Genomic DNA, 21435 nt, shown 5'->3' on the forward strand with positions numbered 1-21435 from the left:
ATTTCTTAAGCAATAGTCTTAAATTATATTAGCATTATATGTTACTAAGCAAATTAACCAGATATATCAATTCCTTTTGTAAACATCTTACCAATAAAACAAATAGAAATTTGATAATTCATTTTGGGAATATATTCTAATCAATATTCTTATCATATTCTGAGAACTCAGCATGACACTTTCGATTACAAATCTTATAGTTCTAACTGATATATTTTCTATTAGGTCATTCTGTTTAACCTCAAATGCCATTAAGTTCCTTTGTAAAGAGGAATAAAAGTTATTTTATCTTAAAGTGAACTGAAAACTGATGGAAAAAGTTGTTCTTTTATCAAACTATAATCTATTGTTTCAGCTACAGAGAAATTATACACAGAAAAGAGTATAAAGAACTCCATAAATTATTATGACAAAAAGAAATGCCAAAGCAATAGCTTTAAAAGTGTTTTTTCTATGCCCTGGCAAGCAGTAAATTGATAAAACTAATAAAAATTGAAAGTGAGACAGAAAAAAGTGTCCAATAGTGTAGGAATTCTGAATTTCCTCTATTTTATATCTGAAGTATCAAAAATGCATCATTTGCAACTAATAACTCAAGTAGTATAATTAAGAAAACATTAAGAAATATAATTAATAAAATTAGGTAAAGGAAACTATGAATTATACTAATTTCATCAATGATCATGATAGGAAATTTATAAATATTACATTAAAATATGGTAGTTAAGTATTATATGAACATAAGCAAAAAAGTTTAGCTTAAAAGGGAAGTTCTAAAAAATATTACAATTCTCCCTAATTATTAAAAGAAATAAATTAAAAAGACACAAAGGAAATAAAATAAATCATATAACTATTAAAGAGTGTAAACAACACAAACGGATGCCAAAAGAAAGACTAAATTTGATAATTATTGTAAATTGGCTAAATTTGCCCACTAAAAGATAAATATAATTAAATTGAATGCCGAAGCAAAACCCAATACTTTCATGTAAATAAAATAAAGTAGTTCCAAAGGCAGGAATAGAAAGGAGGGTATAATATAAACAAAAATACCACAAAATAATAATACGAGTAAATAAAATACTAATACAAACAAAATGAAAGCAGGGGTCACATTCTAAATAAAAAACAAATTGAGTGCCTGCTTGTGAAGTGTGACAGAATTGGCACTTTGTTATGATGATACAATAGCTATTAATATCTATGCTCCAATAACTGAGCATAAATTGTCATAAACCAAAACAACATGTAAATCAGTTCCTACAAATAAAAAAAGAGATACAAATATTCTGAAGATGTACACAACACACAAAAAGGAAATATAAGTAGTTTTTAAATATAAATCTTTCAAAATTTTAAATACCCATACAATTTGACTCAGAAATTTCATTTCCAGAAATGTATCATACTAACATGCTTGTATTTGTTCACAAAGGACATTCACTGCAGCATTGTTATAGTGGCAAACAGTTAGAGACAATCTAGTGCAGGATTAGATAAGTAAAATTTGGAATTTTCATATAATGTGACATTATTAAGCTTTAAAATAAGAGTTGCATATACTAACAAATAACAAGCTCTAGAAGCGGGGGGAGGTAGTCAGGCAGATAGATAGATAGATAGATAGATAGATAGATAGATAGAAAAAGATAGATGATAGATAAAGATAGATGATAGATAGATATAGATAGATAGATAGATAGATAGATAGATAGATAGATAGATGATAGAAAAAAGATGTTAGATTGATAAATAGATAAAGATAGATGATAGATGATAGATAGGAGATAGATAGTGGACATAGATGATAGATAATAGATGATATATAATAGCTAGATGATATAGATGATAGATAATAGCTAGCTAGCTAGTTTTTAAATAAAAGTGCAAGATGTGGATGATAAACTCATGCTTAATATATTTTATTTTCTGGGCACATAGAAGGCTATGATTTTCAGGAAGGCCATATTACCCAGCCTTTTTCCTGCAGCAGCATCATGTGACCAGTTATAGCCAAAAGGTTGTGAGCATAAGAGACTTATGCTCCTTAATTGCTTCTGATTGACTTAACTGAAGCATTTAATTGCTCCTGAATGACACCCTCTCCCACTCTTTTGCTCTGCAGGGGAGGAGGGAGACAAAAAGAACGTTGGAGACTGGCAACCCAGCTCCCTGAGTGACAGAATAGAGCAGACCACTGGGGTACTCTCACTCCTGGCTGTCAACCCAGGCTGGTTATAAACTGCAATCAAGAAATAACTGTTTGACATTGACATTCCAGGAATAATTTCTTAGTGCAGCTTACTCTAGAGTATCTCACTATGGTACAGAACTATATATGAAGTGCAATCGTTTGTATAACAGAGGAATACGTTTTATAAACATATATGTATGTTTTTATAAACATGTATGTATGTTTTTATAAACATTTATGTATGACCTGAGAACAGTGTCAACAGTGTCAATAGAAAGGGAAACAGAAAGCTAGAAAACAGAGGACACAAGGGTCCATATATGAATTCTTTCTGTTTCAATTATTTTTAACAACGTCATATATATGTGTATTATATATGTTTCTTGCATGTGTATATATATATATATAGATGCACTACACACACGTGCACTCACGCGCCCACACACACACACACACGTTTCTTCCCAAAAGAGAAAAAGCAGGAGAATCTATTCATCTGTTTACTGGATAAAATTAGTATGAATTATAAAAGAGCAATGTATCTGTGTCTGCGTGTGGTTCACCCAAGTGCTGAATGTAAAATTACTACTAAGGACTACGCTATTGATATTCAAACTGGGGAGAAGTTTGAGGTTTCACAGGATGCATCACAGCTTCCTGGTTTGTATCCAATGACAGGAAACTTTCATGTGACACTGCAGCCATTAGAGAATTTTTTGATCAAAATTATTGTCAAGCCTTTTTCATAGCCAGAGAATCCAAAATATTGGCTCTTGGAAACAATACATGAAAAGTAAATATAGGCTTGTAATATTAAAGCAAAAATGATGGAGAAGGTATAGCAAAGAGTAAGTCCGTAAGTATTGAGCTCACAGCTATTTATTATTTTACTGATTATATTAGGAATACAAACATCCTTAACATGACCAAGAGTTGACATCACAGTGAATTGCAGGGAAAAATGAAAAATCAACAAACAGTAATACAAAAAGTAATCAATCCTGGTGAAGAAAATGAGAGTTGAGAATTACATTGTGCAATCAATGAAGATCAGGAAAATCTGACAAATATGAAAAGATAAATGTAGATAAAGCCAGAACAAAGACAGGTTTTCTTCATAAAAATATCACTACCTGAAATGTAATTATACAACTATTTGTGTGTGTATACATACATACGTATTTACACATTTCCTCAATGAAATATAAGGTCCAAAACTTCAGGACTGGAGTTTGTAATTTTCCTAGAACAGCATCTGACACATAAAAGCCACTCAATTAAAACTTTCAGATTAAATAAACAAAAGATCATTACCTTAATGGTTTTCTCCAGTTACTTGGTAAATGAATTAGAAGCTTAAAATAGACCCACTCGACTACTGAGCAATTAAACTTACTGATTGTACATAAATGCCCATAAGTGCAAAATATTATAGATTATAATACTAAAATTATATAAAAATATACATGTATATATGCATACACATATGTATATGTATGAGTGTGTGTGTGTGCATATATGTGACTTCCTAGGAAAAGTTTTATATTCCATTTCTCAGTAATCAGGTCACTGATTCATTCTTCAGTGGTTTGAATCATCTCAATATGTTTTCTAGTTATTTGATTTATTAATTCTGTAATTTATAGAACTTTATAGGATTTGAATGGACCACTTCTGAGCACGAGAATTAACGTTGTGGGTCCCCAAAGGGATACAAACAGATTTTAAGAATTTGACATATGCTCTAATACATCCAAGAGGAGACTAAAAGTCATGACTTGGCCAAGGTAAAAGATAGGTCCAATAATTGTTTCTTTAATTTTGTGTAGAATTTGAAAAATTAGAAAGATGAAGTCACGCTGAGATCCTAAGAAAATGAAAGATCCTAAGTTATGAGAAAGACTCCCAGTTGAACTTGAGATGTTACCTATATGATAAATTACTACCTTACCCAAATATATACATAACTAATATAAATATGTCTAAAAATATTTGCAGTGAAAACCACTGGCTCCCTACCACTCACACTACGATAAAAACCACCATTTTATAAGTTCTGTTTATGCTCACAAATTTTTTTCATGCTTCTTTCTTACATATGAAGGGATAGTCGATGATCACCTGATAGCTCAAGAATATCTTTATTACAAAACAAAGGCACAAAATGAAAAAATAGTGAAAACAAACTGGAAGAAATGAAATCCATACAAGAAGAGAAAATGTAAACATTATTGAATTTAATGTGTTCATAGAAAAACATTTCCTCTCTAAGCTTATGCAGCCATGAAGTCAAGACAAGGTACAGAAAGCCATAGTTTGTAGTTTGTTACAAAGAATAATTAGAGGACCAAAAGCAGCATTCAGATATTTAAAATAAAATACCAATAAGCACACAAATAATGTAAGTTTGGGGCAATAAAACAAAAATTCTCATGAAGTTGAATTCATATACCCATATTTAGTTAAGAGAAGAGAGACAAATTCTGGATCCAAAAAGCAAGTGAAAATTAGACAAAGGGTGGGAAAAGAACCCTGTGGTGGTTCCCACCTCCTTTCCCTCTTCTTCAGCCTGTAGATACTGTAGAGTTTATTTATCTACAAGTTATAATACTCTAGTGTGTCAGCTATGATCTCCTCAGTTCCCAGAATTCAAAATTATTAGCTTTGGGTGACAACTTAGAGATACCTACACCCTCAAATTTTGGAAACTGAATGATTGATACGGGAGCTAAAAATTAGGCAGTTAGTGAGGGTAAGAGAGTCATCGGTAAGGTTTCCCTTTTAATAAAATGCAGCCCCCAAATCCTTTCTTTTCTAACAAAGGGCAGCCTGAAAAATCAAGCTGCAGACATAGAAAAGCAAGCTAGAAGCTGGCACAGGTGAATGCCAACAGCTGTGCCAATAGAAAAGGGATACCTGGAAGTCAGATATGTTCAACATGGAGGCTCCTTCTTTCTTTTTCTTTGCTGCCACATGTGCAGTAAAGAAGCAGGCAACAAGCCAGGTGTGATAGCTCACGCCTGTAATAACAGCACTTTGGGAGGCCGAGGCAGGTGGATCACCTGAGGTCAGCAGTTCGAGACCAGCCTGAACAATATGGAGAAAACCCGTTTCTACTGAAAACACAAAATTAGTCAGGCAGGGTGACACAGCCTGTAGTCCCAGCTACTCAGGAGGCTGAGGCAGGAGAATCGCTTGAACCCAGGAGGCTGAGGTTGCGATGATCACAGATTGTGCCATTGCACTCTGGCCTGGGCAACAAGAGGGCAACTCTGTCTCAAAAAAAAAAAAAAAAGCCGACATGGCCACTGGCCAAGGAAAGAACCCATCAGCATAATAAAAGATAAGGGTGGGATGACCAGCTTCTTCTTGCATTATGTAAATGACGTAATGGGTCCAACCAATCTTTTGGACCCTATGTTAATCAGACACCACCTCCTCAAGCTTGTCTATAAAACCCCATGTATTTCACCAGGGAACCAGAAGACCCACTTGGGAGCCTCTCTCTCTCTCTGCAGGAGAGAGAGCTTTTCTCTTTTTCTCACCTATTAAACCTCCACTCTTAACGTCACTCCTTGTGGGTCCACATCTTTGATTTTCTTCGTGTGAGGCAAGAAACCTCAGGTATTACCCTAGATGAATGATGCCGCTTCATGAAGAGTGCCCTAAACAGCGTGACAGCCAAAACTCCAAATGGTCCCCACTTCAAATATGTCAGCTAGGTTTGGTGAAGTGAAAGAAGGGGCAGTTTGGTCAAGTGTTTGCTGACTTATTCTGGTGGCTAAATATTTACACTGTCAACTGTAGAAGCTGCCAAACTATATTTGAATTAGGAGCTGAGGTATTTAGGAGAAATTACTAAGATGGAGTAGGGTGATTTTAGTCAAATTAATTAACTTATGTCATTCCAAGTTTCCTGAAGCAAAATGCATTTAAACATTACCATCACAGCACTTTAATAAGGCTTAGCATTTTAATGAGGTAACATATGTGAGAACTTCTAGAATAAAGTCTGAAACATAATAAAAGCCCGCAATCACAATGTCTCCTCTCTTTTCTAGTTTTCCTGATCCTAGTATATACTAACTTATCAAAGTCCTTCAAGCACATGCCCAGAACAAAACTAGATGCAATTTTCCAACTGAAATCACATCCTTGGTCCAAAATAGATACAATATTTATTATATGTAATATATATAATTTTTAATACATTCTAAGACTTTCAATGGCTCCTGTACTATTTGTTTGTAATGATCATGTAACTGTTAAGTCTTTTCCAACTGGGCTGAATGCAGACCAGGTACTTCTCTCCAGCTGTGGTTGTCTCACTTAAGAGAATCACAACATGGCTCTCATTAAGACACTCAAATATTTTCAGATTAAAAAATGATCATAAGTACAGAGAATTGAATACCAGAAATAAAGAGATGTAGATGGGCTTTCTATAATCCAAAAAAAAATAACTTGTTGGATGCACTTGTAAAAACTGAATGACAGTTTAAATTTTTGGTTGACTTCCCTTCTCTCGATGTGTGTTGGACTCTCTGATGACTTAATAGAATTTATATGTGCAGAGATAGAGTAGCAAGGCAAAACAGTAAAAATAGGATGACATATCAGTATAACAACCCTGTCATATAGTTAATATCAAGAAAAGTATCTGATTTTATATTCAATATACTTCCTGGCACATGAATGACATGTCATGAATATAGAAAATAATCGTTTGTTTGATATATCTTAAATTGAAAAGTTGTGTGGCAAAACTTGAACATTAAACTTTTTCAGAAAAGTTATATTTTTCAGCCAGCTCAATTTTAATTTTTTTAAAAGTTTATAAGCATGTTTTTTTATTACCCTTTCACATCTTCTGTAAGATGCAGTGTACCCATGCATCCACCAAACACTACCTGATCAAAAACAGTAAATTTCTTCGTTTTCATTTGCTAGTAGCCTTTCAATTAGGAGTTGCTTCTCTAAAAGAAAATAATTACTTGGTCATTTATACCATCTATCTTCTCCATGAAAATGTTTCAGAGTATGTAATGGAATTGTAATTATACATCAGTCATCTTTAATTATTTATAATTTTTAGCCTTAAAAGCTTGCCATTTTAAAAGTGACTTAATACAAGATTTATGTTATATTTAAGGACTCATTAGAAAAGTCCTTTCTCTGTTTCCTAAAACTCAGATAATCAACATTTCTATTTTTTTCTGTTTTTATGCTTACAACACATCTAGGTGCTAAGCTACTCCTTGAAAAAAAAAACTGCAAAACTTGGGAAGCTGAAGAAAATTAAAAAATATATATAAGAGAACAAAGAGATGACAAGCTAATTTACTTCCCAATAACAAAGAATGTGAGAGTTACACTGAACAAATTAAAAACATTAAAATTTCACTATGATCTTTCTATTCACCTATATTAAAGGATACATTTATTTATATAAATTAATCATGTAAGTTTGAAGTCTTCAAGGACTCAGATACAAAGAGAATCAGGAATTTGGCAAATTGACATCTTCCTATAGAAATCATAGAGAAAACTTTTTCTAAATTACTTTAAAAAATATTCTGTGGTGTCTATGATTCGCTTCCTATTTTATGTTTTGCAGTATTTTTATTAATGTGTAAAAACTGAAGATAAAAAAGAGAAATGTAGGGCTATTTTATTTCTTAACGATAGAAAGAGAGAATTCAGAAATAAGGGAACAGGGGAAAATGTTACCAGAGTCTTGGGAAAGATGAAGGAATGGATAAAATATCACTTTTTAATAACAGAAGGACAGGACAGAAATGGCTGGTGGAGCCAGGCCTGAGTCTCCTGCCTTGTGTTTCTGTGCTCGGATGTGAGGTTACCTTAAAGGGGCTTCAGTTCACCAATCTGTTTATTGGCGAGAGTCTTAAAGAAACCATCCAAGCCACAAAGTACGCAAATTACCTTTCTTAGCTATAAGGAAGCAAAATGCTTATAAAACTTTCCTAAGTGTTTTTCCATTTACAGTATTCACATTTCTTCTCATTTCTCAAGTACAAGAGAAGATGAATGTTAACCCAATGGGAACTCACAAGACCTATGGAATCTCTCTCTTACTCCCCCACCCCTCCCCATAAAACTGCTAAGTCTTGGTGCTTCCTTAGATCCAATCCTACAAATCATGTAGGATTTTAAATGGGTACTCAGTAGAGGCTCTTCACCTCTCCTCACTGAAAAGATTTAAACTAAATTTAATTATCTGCGCCCTGCCTAGAATATTCATCAACTAGATCTTTGTATTATGTCTGGCTTCTCAAACTTCAGATCCATTAACAAATAGTAACTTTGTTTTCCCTGATTATTATATCAAACATAACACGCACCAGTCATCCTCTATCCCAGGACATTGCTTTATGTTTTTTGGTACGCTTAAGACTTTCTTAACTTTTATTTCTTTATTATCTATTTGGCCCGATGTTGATGTCTTTTCCTACTGGAACAGTGGACTAAGATCAGGAACTTTGTCTCTAAAGTTTACTGTGTACCTGGATTCCCAGGAACAGTGCTTGAAAAATAGTATACACTCAGACACTATTTTCAAATGGTATTGGATGAATGGAGGAAATTAGAAGTAAAGTCATTTCACTTTTTGGAAGAAGTTAGGTGTTACGATCCTGAGAGCTGTAAAGTCCAACTGTGTTTAGATCCTGACTCAATATTTACCCTCTGGGTAGGCTTCAGTTTTCTAAAATCCAAACAGAAGGAAAAGAAATGTCACTGTGGTATAGGATTATGGTGAATTCAAGTTAAGTAGTTGTCATTGCACATAGCACAAAACACCTCAACAAATATTTTACTATTAACCACACACAAAAAATAATTTTATGAATAAGTTAATATATGAAGTATATTCTAGATTGTCAGTAAAATCAAAAGCAAAATAATTGAGATTATTATTTCATTCACTAAAGACATTAGAAATCACACATTGTAAATTAATTATATAAAAGGCAAAGCATATCTAAAAAAAATCAATCAATCTGTATTGCCCTTGAATTTCAGAAAACAAAAGAATAATGCAAAACAAAGCTGGGAATCCAGCCAACCATCTAAATACAGCATTTATCATTTACTTGTGAAATTACACTGTAAAGGCTCAGTAAAGAAAGCGAGATTATGCATATTCATACGATGCTTCAGTGGAGATGATAAATGAAACATAGCCACAAAATCATTCATTGAATATGACATGATTACATTTCTTTCCATGCTCACCCAACAACCAAGATTACAATGTAAAATTTCTATATATTTTTAGGAGAATAAAAGATCTAAATTTCTGAATGAAGGCAAAATCAGCATATACATTTTATGCATTGTCAAATATTATATGATTACAATGTGCATTCTGTTTTTTTAAGAAGACCAGAACAAAACACAAACTCCTTACAAGAAGATAAGAGGTTATCCTGATTCACTAAAGGTTTCAAGAATTTCGCTTTGACATTGTTTAATAATAAAAAATAAGTATCTCTTCTTATATTTTTAGTGAGTTTAAAGTTTAGTGAGTTTTATTTATTTTCTCTCTTAGTCTTTAAGCATGTTTTGTTTACCTTTTTAAGCAGCTTTTAAACAGTAGAATAGCATTATTTTAATAAATCATCAAACTTCTTTTGTTCAAAAAACATGTTAGTATACTCTATCAAAGCCATGAGGCTTTGATGATACATTATAGTAATAACTCATCAAAAGACAACAGTTTGATCATGCTGTACATTAAGTACATCACCAAAACTCATCTTTCCAATAGCAAAATAAAACAGCACCTAGCACAAACTCCTTTTTGGTTAGATGACTTTTCTTTAACACTAGAAATTCATGTTCATATGTACACACATACACACACACAAACATCTGTTCCTAACTAGGGATGGATTTATGCATAGTACTGAAAAGGAATTCAACTTAATAGGAAAACAAATTCAGGTGGATGGATTTGACAAGAATAAGGAAACCAAGAGGAAAATGAAAGGTCACTTAAATATATGATTGTATATGGTTTTACAAATAATAAAAATAATTTATGACAACTGTAGAAAGATGCAAAAGTATAGACAATCACAAAGGAGAAGATAAGTCATCCATATCACCACTAGACATAAACACCAAAACATTATGATATATCACTCAAGTCTTTTCCTCTCCCAAAGTATTTTCTATGAATTATTCTAGAATATATATGATATGTATATATGATAGATATATATGTGTGCATATATATGATATATGTGTACATATATATTTGTGATATATATTTATGATATATTATGATAGATATAGGTATAGATATTTTATGCAGAGTCTCACTCTGTCACCCAGGCTGCAGTGCAGTGGCACAATCTCATCTCACTGCAACCTCCGCCTCCTGGGTTCTAGTGATTCTCCTGCTTCCGCCTCCTGAGTAGCTGGGATTACAGGAGTGCGCCTCCATGCTCGAGTAATTTTTGTATTCTTGGTAGAGACAGGGTTTCACCGACATGTTGGCCAGGCTGGTCTCAAGCTCCTTGCTTGAGATCGGCCTGCTCAGCCTCCCAAAGTGCTGGGATTACACTACCAGCTGATTGCTATATATGAGCTTCATTCTTTTATATACTTGTATAACGTTTTAAGAATTTGATTTTCAATTAAATTTTTTAACTTTTCTATATGAATTATATTATTCTGTTATTGTTGAATTTCTGTAATGGACTATAGACATTTCATTCTATTTTTTTATTCTACTATAAGTTATATTCAATTTTTTTTTATTATTACACTTAAGTTCTGGGATACATGTGCAGCAGGTGCAGTTTTGTTACATAGGTATACACGTGCTGTGGTGTTTTGCTGCACCCGTCAACACGCCATCTACGTTCGGTATTTCTCCTAATGCTGTCCCTCCCCTAGTCCTCCACCCCCCAATAGGCCCCAGTGTGTGATGTTTTCCTCTCTGTGCCCATGTGTTCTCATTGTTCAGCTTCCACTTACGAATGAGAACATGCGGTGTTTGGTTTTCTGTTCCTGTGTTAGTTTGCTGAGAATGATTTCTAGCTTCATCCATGTCCTTGCAAAGGAAGTGAACTCATCCTTTTTCATGGCTGCATAGTATTCCATGATGTATATGTGCCACATTTTTCTTTATCCAGTCTATCATTGATGAAGAAAACGTATCTCTTTATTTCTCTAATCATTCATTTTAATATCTAAATGATTCTTATAGGCCCTCAACTTTATGTAAAATATAGTTATTAGCTATTACTTGTTGATTGTTTATCATGCACCAGAATGCTGCTATTTTGTGAGTAGGTCACTTGATTTTCCCTAGAAATTTATTAAATATATATTACTTTTGTTTCTACTTATCATCAGAGAAAGTAACTTGTCAAAATATTAAATAAGGAAACTGAGGTTCAAATTTCATTCTTCAAACTCCTCACTACAGGTTCTTAACCACTATATCCTAATGCTATAAATCATACTTCTTGCCAGGCGTGGTGGACCTGCCTGTAATCCCAGCTCCTCTAGAGGCTGAGATTTGAGGATTGCTCAAGCCCAGGAGCTCAAGGCCAGCCTGAGCACCACAGGGAGATCCATCTCTTTTAAAAAACATATTTCTTCGAGTCTACAATTTCATTGTTCACCTTAAAAATATGTCACGCACATGGACTAAGTTCACACATTGCCCCCCCACCTCCACTGAACACTCAATGAGACACACTGTGAATTTTTCTCTGACTTCCCAAACATACTTGATCATTCCTTTTTCATGCTTCCACATCACTTGTTACCTAAGTCTGTGAGAATTTGGCACGATGTTTTATAACTAGTGGCTGTCCTGCCTGCTGTCTAATGATACGTTTAGTCCTGTGTACTCCTCTGCATTCTAAGTGCCTGCCATGATAATTTATCATAATAGTTTATGGGTGAGTCTTACGAAATGAACAAATAAATGGTTGAATATATTGTATAAGAAACACTGCAACTACACATCCAAGAACGGTCTTGAATAGGCCTGTATTATAAAATAACTATGTTTTGTAAGTACTTAATCCATTTAATTAAAGGACATTCAGATTGAACCCAATTTATATCGCTAATTATTTGTTGTAGATAGCATAGGAATGCCATTATTTCTATGCTTGGGGAGATTCTTTTTGGTGTTGAGGTTGTTGAAAATGTGTTAGAATGTGGAGAAGTAAAGTGAAACAGAGTATCGAAACATTCAGATCGCTGAGCTGTCAGGGTCTCGTTGGAGACGGTCCTAGGAAAGGCTGTCAATATCAGTAGGAGTAAAGAAGAAGAATCAAGTGCCTAATTCCAAAACCAAAAAGTCTTGATTTTCATTTCACACACCATTAACTGCAGGCAGTGGCTCCCCTGAGGGTAGAAAAAGTAAAGTACCTTGACACAGGTGGAGGTATTGTAGGGCTCTGGATGGGGAACAGAAGCTTTCTGTCTTCTACGAAATCTCACTAGGGAAGACCATTTCCAATTAACACTACAGGCTTTGCTGTATCGACCAGAATGTTTATAATTATAACATGTAGATGTATATAACCAGCATATATGGTGTTCATAATTATAATATCTATAATTTAGAGAACACATAACCCAAAATCGTTTTCACTGAAATTACTACATATTAAGGTAGAAGGTCTTATTCAAAAATTAACTTGTATAAAAATGTAAACAAAGAACGGTTAAAGAATTGCTCATTATTCACCTCAACTTCAGATAATATCCCATTCAAAAAGCGCTCCAAATCTGATGCACACTATAATCATGGGTAATAAACCAGACTGGCTGTGTTTAAGTTCACCACATAAATGATAAGCTACTGAAAACAATAATTCTATTATGTTACTATATAAATTTTACTTTGTTGAAATTATTATCCCATAGTCATGAGATCAATGAGATCTCAAATTTTCAGTTTACAACAAGAAAAAAGAATGCAATTAACATACAGCCAATAAATAAACTGTATCATATTTTTGCCTGCCACAACAAATAATATTTTATATCCATGTTATTAACATATATATATATATATATATAACTAATAATAGCCTGATTGGCAAATAAAAAGTACTGCTACTTAAAATGTTTTCAAATTAATTAGTAATTCTGCAATTTAGAAAGTAGTCAGTAGTAAACTATGAATAGAATAATTTCATATGCAATTGAAGATTATAAATGTTCTTACATATGTAAAGCTTCCACATTTTTGTTGATCATCACTGCCTTTTCCTTATGATATACAGTTTTATAAAATCTTGGTTAGTTGTGACATAGGAACCCAAATGCTCTTCCTTTAAATTGTTATGTCATATAAAGCACTTTTTAGTAAACCTTTTATAGTTTATTATAGTCTTCTGACATAAACCATGCATATTTTTGCATGGTTTATTTTTAATACAAATTTTAACAAATAATTATGTTTGTTATTTAAAAGTAGAAAATTATAATGGATGAAAAGCAGTACCCCTTGTAGTCTTAGCACAGAGTGATAAATACCACTTTGTTTTTTACTGAATTGTTAAATTTAAAATATAATTAAATCAAGAATTTTTCACAATGTCAGGAACATTGATTTCGAAATGAGCACGTATTTTCAAAGTGTAATTGAAGTTCCCAAAATTCTCACTTTCATTTACTGTTTGATTGTAGATTGTCATTTATAACTTTGGTTTTTAAAATTTTAAAATACCATATTCGATTTCATTTTTTCGTATTTATTTATTTATTTATTATACTTTAAGTTCTGAGATACATGTACAGAACGTGCAGGTTTGTTCATATTTAATCTCTTAATTATTAAAGCAATAAATACTTATTTGGAAAAATAAAGAAAACCTTAAGAAGCAAATTGAAATTTCTGATTGCTATTTGATATTCAAAACTTTGACTAAAAAATAATTCTAAGTTTTTAATAGCAACGTCTCCATTTCTATATTCCAAAGGACAAAGAGAATAACGCAGCAAAAATTACTGAATGAAAATTGAGATACTAAAAGTAACAAATGCAAACCTATAGATATAACACATGTAAAGGTAAACATTTGAATGGGAAATACAATATTTAAATCCGTCTGTATAGTGTTTTCTCTATTGAGTCACTATGGTTTGCTTTTAACGCATGTCTGAATATGTTCAATCAGCCTTTTGCTAAACGTCCAAGGGGGAAGAAATAATCTTTTATAGGCATTGCCTCATGGTAGATAATTCTGACTTCCCTAATCTACCTAGGTGTATTTATATATTTTGACTTCCCTTATCTACCTGGGTACATTCCTACAAAACAGAAAAATGCCAAGTGATATCTTGGAATATCAACTTATTTCTAAATATGTCAACAATCAAATGAGCAGCATTTGTTCATTAAAGACTGATAGACACGTGCATACATTATGCATACATACATGTATGTATACATACATTATACATTCCTTACAACCTCCCTCAGTAAATCATTCAGAGACTTAATTCTTTGTTAAAAACTTTTTTTTTCTTTTTACAAACTGAAAGTTTGTATATTTTAATTTTGGCATTGTTCTTTATTTATTTTCCAAAAATATTTATCTTCTATACATTAAGACAAGGGTTGGTTATAGATAAAATCACAAGGAAGCAATCTTATCTTGAATCTTGTTCAACCACATCTTTGATTTACTTTTTTCCCTCCTATTCAAAAAGTCTTCAAAGCCTTTTTCTCACAGCCCATGCATTAATGTGAAACACAGGGACGGGTATCCATTGTTGAGGCTCTGCTAGCTGGGAAGAGCTATGCCAGGTGTCTTAGCACATCTCAGTGAGCCTCAAAACAACTTTTTAAGCTTCAATTTACAAACTAAAATAAATAAATAAATAAATAAAGCTCAAAGCATCTTAGCAGCCAAAGTCACACAGATAATTAGTAAATACTGAAACTTATATTTGAACCCTGCTCTCTGAGACTCCAGATCTGTGCTTATAATAATCACTCTATCACAGTGATCTTTTAGTTATTTTCAAGGTGTTAATGTTTTATTATGAAATATTTTAGACAGACAAGAAGCATAAATATAATATGGCATATATCGCTGCTTTTATCTATCACCTTAAAAAACAAATCCTCACTTTCTTCCTGCAAAGGGATCCACTATTTTGAATCTGCTGCTTCTTGTTCCAATGCAACTATAGACCTCTGTTTGGTTCTCAAATAATGAGTTTTTATTTTCCATGGTTTAAACTTTATGCAATATACATGTACGCTACATAGTATGCATTTGTCTACAACTTTTCCACCTCAAACATGCTGATTATGGTAACTCTAGCTCATTCATTTCCACAGTTGCTAAATATTCTACAGCTGGATAATGCCACAGTTTAACTATTCCTCTATACATTACAATTATGTAGTTTGTCTTATTTTCTATTACAAAAAATTCTGCTAGGAATTTTATTTTTACTTCTGTTTTTAACAACTTTACTGGGGTTTAACCGATATACCAAAAGACTGAACATGTTTAATGGATACAATTTGATGACTTTGGACATATGCATTACTCATGATATTCGAGGTAATAAATATATCATCAGGTCTAAAGTTTACTTGTGTCCCCCCCTTTTTTTGTTTTTTGGTATGGTAAGAATGCCTATCATGACATCTATTCTTTTAATGAATTTCTAACTGCACAATATCATGTTGTTCACTATAGGTGCTACATTGTACAACAGATCTCTAGATTCTGTTGTTTATCTCACATAACTGAAACTTTACACGCATCAACAACTCCCCATTTGCTCCTCATCCAGGCCCTTGGCAGCCAGCATTCTATTATCTGCTTTCATGAGAATGACCAGTTGAGATAACTCATATGAATAGAATCATACAATATTTGTCTTTCTGAGACTGGCTTATTTTTACATAACGGACTGTCCTTCTGGTTCATCCACATTGTCACAAATGGCAGAGATCTCTTTTAAGGCTAAACTATATTCTATTGTATGTATTATATGCTGCCTTTTAATCCAGTCATCTTTGGATAGACACGTGGGCTGCTTTCATACACTGGATATTATGAACAATGCAGCAATGAATATAGCAGTGCAGACAGCTCTTCAAAATTTTGATTTCAGTTTTTTAAATACATATACTCAGAAGTGGGATTTCCAGATTATATGGTATTTCTTCTTATTTGATAATTTCAACATTTATTTTAGATTCAAGGGGTAAAATGTGCAGGTTTGTTGCGTGGTTATATTGTGTGATGCTGAGGTTTGGGGTAGGAATGTTCCCACCACCCAGATAGTGAACATAGCACCCAATAGATAGTTTTTCAACCCTTTGCCCCCACCTCCCCTCCCCAGTAGTTCCCACTGGACTATATAGTATTTTTATCTTTAATTTTTTTGAGGACTTTTCATACTGTTTCCCATAGTAGCTGCATAATTTTAAATTCCCACCAATAGTGTACAAGCGTTCAAACTTCGCCACATCCTCATTAAACGTGTCATCTTTTGTTTGAAACTAGTCATCCCATACAGCTGTGAGGTGATATCTCATTGTGGTTTTGACTCGTATTTCCCTGATGATCAGTGATACTGAGCACCTTTTCATATACCTAATGCCCACGTGTATGCCCTCTTTGGAGAAATGTCTATTTAACTCTTTTGCCCATTTGTAGTCATGTTATTCTTTTTTTTTTTTTTTTGGCTGTTAAATTGTAGGAGTTTCTTACATAGTTTGAATATTAACCCATCATCAGATAAGTGGTTTGCAAATACTTTCTCCCATTACATAGGCTCCTTTTTACTCTGCTACTTCTTTGCTTTGCTATGCAGAAGCTTTTTAGTTTGAGGTAGTCCGATTTCTCTGTTTTTGCTTTGTTGCCTGTGCTTTTTGTATCATATCCAGGAAATCATTGTCAAACCCAGTATCATAAAGCTTTTCCCTTATGTTTCCTCCTGAGTTTTATGATTTTAGATCTTATCTTTAAGTCTTTAATCCACTTTGATTTTTCTAAATCGTGTAAGGTAGTAGCCCAATTTCATTCTTTCGTATGTAGATACCTAGTATTCTCAAAACCGTTTGTTGAAGAGACTGTCATTTCCCCATTGCATATTCTTGATACCCTGTTGATAAGTAATAAGTGATTTTTCTCTAGCTGCTTGCAAAATTCTCTGTGCCCTTGACTTTTGACAATTTGATTATAATATGTGTCTTCTTTTGGTGTCAATATCTTTAGATTCATCTGATTTGGGATAGTTTGAGCTTAACGAATCTAGGTGTCCATTTCTCTCCCCAGATTTGAGATGTTTTCAGCCATTATTTCTTTAAATGAGCTTTCTGCCCTTTTCCCTCTTCTTATTCTGGAACTTTCATAATGTGCTTATTTGTTGTCCTAATGATGTCCCAGAGGGCCCGTGGGCTTTCTCCACTCTTCCCCTTTTTTTTCTTTTTGTTCCTCTAACTTGATAATTCCAAATTACTTGTCTTCAGGTTTGGAGATTATTTCTTCTCCTTGATCAGGTCTCCTGCTGAATATCTATATTTTTCAGCTCAGTTATTGTATGTACTCTTCAGCTCCAGAGTTTCTGTTTCTTTAAGATAATTATTTAGAATTTTTTGTCAGTCAGTTCATAGGTCTCCATTTCCTTAAGGTCTGTTACCAGAGATTTACTGTGGGTTTTTTTTTTTTGTTTTTTGTTTTTTGTTTTTTTTGTAGTGTCATGTTTCCCTGATTCTTTGTTTTACTTCAGATTTCAGTAGCTATTTGTGCATTTGAAGTATATCCACTTTGTCCAGCCTTTACAGGCCTTGCTTTGGTAGGGAAAGACCTCCTCAATTAACCCTGCTAGTGTATCTGGAAGTTTCCAAAATCTTTTATATGTATTTGCACACTTTACCCTTCTCCCTACCTGCTGGGGAGAAATCTCAAGATTGTGCATCTTCTCCTAATCCCTCAGATCCATGCCAGGTGCCGAAAGCCACAGGCTCCTTTTTCCTTGGGCAGCTCAATAAAATGTTGGGACATTGAGTATAAGTTACACTTCTTTCCCTCCTGCCTAAACAAGAAGTTTTAGAATTATGTACCTTCTCCCAATCCTACTGAACTAAGCCAGCTTCTGAGGTCTACACATCCAGCTGAGAGCTCCATGTGCTGGCTGCTAAGATCCATGCCATCTGCTAAGATCTGTGCCATCAGCTTGAGAGCTGCATATGCTATGGATATATGCCCCATCAGATAAGATCCACTCTGTCAATTGAGATTCAAGTCAGCTGCTGAGAGCCACAATGGCTGTTAACATCTGCACCAGCTGCTGAGAGCCACTTACCCCTTTTCTTTGTTCTTAGCTTCCCCCAGGCATTCTAACTATGCTAGATTCCCTTAGCACTCTGAGTGTGATAAGACAAAAGCAGGTCTTTTGAGCGGTGCCCCAAAAGCCTGCGGATGTTAGATGCCCACTGATTCCCTTTCCCTGATGGGAGAAATCACAGGTTGAGGGAATCTCCCTCAGTACTAGGGTGTGCTGGCTTGAGGGAGTGGGTGATTAGAAACTGCTCTTCTTATCATTTTAATGTGATTATTCTTGGTTTTGTGCGATCCCGGAGCATTGTAACCTCTTATCTGGATTCCTGAGTTCTCATAAAGCTATTTTGGTCCATATGTGGCACCAAATCAGTCTATTTGTTTTTATGAGAAGATAAAGAAATATGGACCTTGACACACACACACACAAAAACATATATTCCACTTGTTTCCTCAATTGTATTGGGTTTGGCAGTAACCTTCTAACTCAGAACGAAGGTAGCCACTTCAGCCTAAAGACACAGAAAATGATGTTCATCCAGTTGAAAAAGCAAGAAGTGTACATGAATGTTTACCAAATTCCTCAGTCACTCATAAGTTTCAGAATGGCATCAGACGTCAGTTCAATTGGAAATAATTCTACATCTGTTTTTCATATACTAGTAACTCAAAGAGTCAGTCATAAGCACCTCCTCCAGAATGCTAAATGTATAGGTGAGTTTCTGAATTATTTTCTAAAATATACATTCTAGTAATTAAAAAACCCCAAAGTAATCGTATGATGCTGCTGAAGCTACAGAACATTATGGAATGTTATTGTCTTCATATTCATTCAGTCGTTTAACTAAATATGTTATACAAAGTGATTATAATGTTTATAGATACCAGATATTGCACTTTTTATATTTAGAATCATTTATTGAAATCTCGTGTTATTTGATGATTCAACAAATGTCTTGCACATAATCAATTACAATCTCAGCTCCCATATCATGTCTATTATTGGTTTTATAGAGTAGATGTCACAATTTAGCACTTGTTTTAAATTTATATCTGAAATTTTCTGCACTCAAGACATCCAGCATTCTACAAGAAAATTCAATTTGAATAATAGTAGCTTGCAAATGCATTTTTTTCTGCATCACTAAAAGGTAAATAACATCATTTGACTTCAATTAAATAATGTGACACTAAAATCCTTGTAAGCAAAAATATAACAATGGAAATACATTAGCATGGAAATTTATAGGCAAACCATAAATTAGGCTTTAGAATGTACTGCAATGAGTGTCAGCTGCTGCAATTTTATTCCTTAAAATGCAAAACAAACTTTACTTGCTAAATTCATGACAGAAAGGAATTACGAAAAATTACTTTTCTTTACTATATCCAATTCCAGTGTACTTTCAATTAGATAAGAGTTTGATTCACACGAGGATCCAGAAAATACATAATGCCTGAAAAACAGATACATTTATAGCCACAGGGCATTGTTATATGAGAATGAAGTAATTAGATCTCTAAATTACTCCATTGTTTAATTCAATTCAATTAAATATATCCTCTAAATATCTCTGGTATTTTCAGCAATTTTCCTTATCATTATAAGAAACAGAAAGTCAAGAAAAAGTTATAATTCTGGGCAGGCCCAATCTTATTTTTTTAGAGACTTTAGGTGGGGTTGGGAGAGAGGTCTATCCCTTCCTCAGAATCTGTGCTTCTATTTTAGAATCCTGTACAGTTCTGAGGCAGATACCTTACAGTACAAGAGTCATTTATCCTGACAGGCACTGTCCTTCTTCTCATCATCATGACCCTGAGGACCGGGATGAGCTTGAATGAGTCCAAGTTCTACATGGGGTTCTGAGATCTTCCTTGAGGTCACCAGTTGTTCTGCTTGCTTAAATCACTCTTTTTTTTTTTTTCTTGAGATAGAGTCTCACTGTTGCCCAGGCTGGAGTGCAGTGGCGTGATCTCGGCTCACTGCAACCTCCGCCTCCTGGGTTCAAGCGATTCTCCTGCCTCAACCTCTAGAGTGGCTAGAATCACAGGTGCACACCACCACACTCAGCTAATATTTTTTTTTTTTTTTTTGACAGAGGTTCGCTCTTGTCACCCAGACTGGAGTACAGTAGTGCGATGTTGGCTCACTGCAACCTCCGCCTCCCGGGTTCAAGTGATTCTCCTGCCTCAGCCTCCCAAGTAGTTGAAATTGCAGGTGTTCACCACAAGTCCTGGCTAATTTTTGTATTTTTAGTAGAGATGGGGTTTCATCATGTTAGCCAGGCTGGTCTCGAACTCCTGACCTGAAGTGATCCGCCTGCCTCTTCCTCTCAAAGTGCTGGGATTACAGGCATGAGCCACCACACCCACCCTTAAATGACTCTTGTAACCATTTCCCCTCTGGAATATCGCTGGCCTTTTGGCTTCTCTGCTGGAAGCTGAGGACATGTCACTTGTGCTTTGAAATCCCCATCTCCAATGTCACCATCTCCCTTCATGTCAAGCTGGGAAAACTTTCTAGTTTCAGTGAAATCCTTCTGCCTTTGTGTTTATGGTTAAGATATTTTATCTATGTCTCAATCTTCTCATGTCTCTAGAGTTTAAAAAGACTTGCAAGAGCCTTCTGCATTCTACCTTGTTTCAAAACTCACTCAAAACAAGCACAAGTCTGACCATTTACTCATATGAAATGGCAGGATTGGGAAGTGGGAGGGGAGGGGGAGAATACACAGATTTTAAAACATGATAATGCCTCAAAATATACCACCCAAAACACCTAACTTGCACGGTTGTAGTAATACTTAGAATTTCTGCATGTAAAATTTGTTGCATATTCTAGAGTTTTTCTGTAATGATAGTTACTATTTTTATTATCATATAGGACCCTATAAAATTACTCCCATGATTTAGATTTCTGATATT

The 21435-nt window shown here is 34.1% G+C and overlaps 1 long non-coding RNA gene across 1 annotated transcript in view, besides 1 other annotated feature; it reads right to left on the minus strand.

Moving 5' to 3' along the window:
• The window catches only part of LOC101929028 (uncharacterized), a 382849-nt gene that overhangs the window by 86527 nt on the left and 274887 nt on the right, over window positions 1–21435 (minus strand). The gene's annotated exons all lie outside the window — the stretch shown is intronic.
• Window positions 18091–18852: an enhancer, noted in NCBI's record as "OCT4-NANOG hESC enhancer chr8:16334715-16335476 (GRCh37/hg19 assembly coordinates)". NCBI's record gives its function as "activates a minimal SCP1, AML or CMV promoter by ChIP-STARR-seq in naive and primed H9 embryonic stem cells {active_cell/tissue: H9 hESC(naive and primed)}" and the evidence as "EXISTENCE:reporter gene assay evidence [ECO:0000049][PMID:30033119]".

This window comes from Homo sapiens, chromosome 8 (genome assembly GCF_000001405.40).
Source record: "Homo sapiens chromosome 8, GRCh38.p14 Primary Assembly".
NCBI lineage: Eukaryota > Metazoa > Chordata > Mammalia > Primates > Hominidae > Homo > Homo sapiens.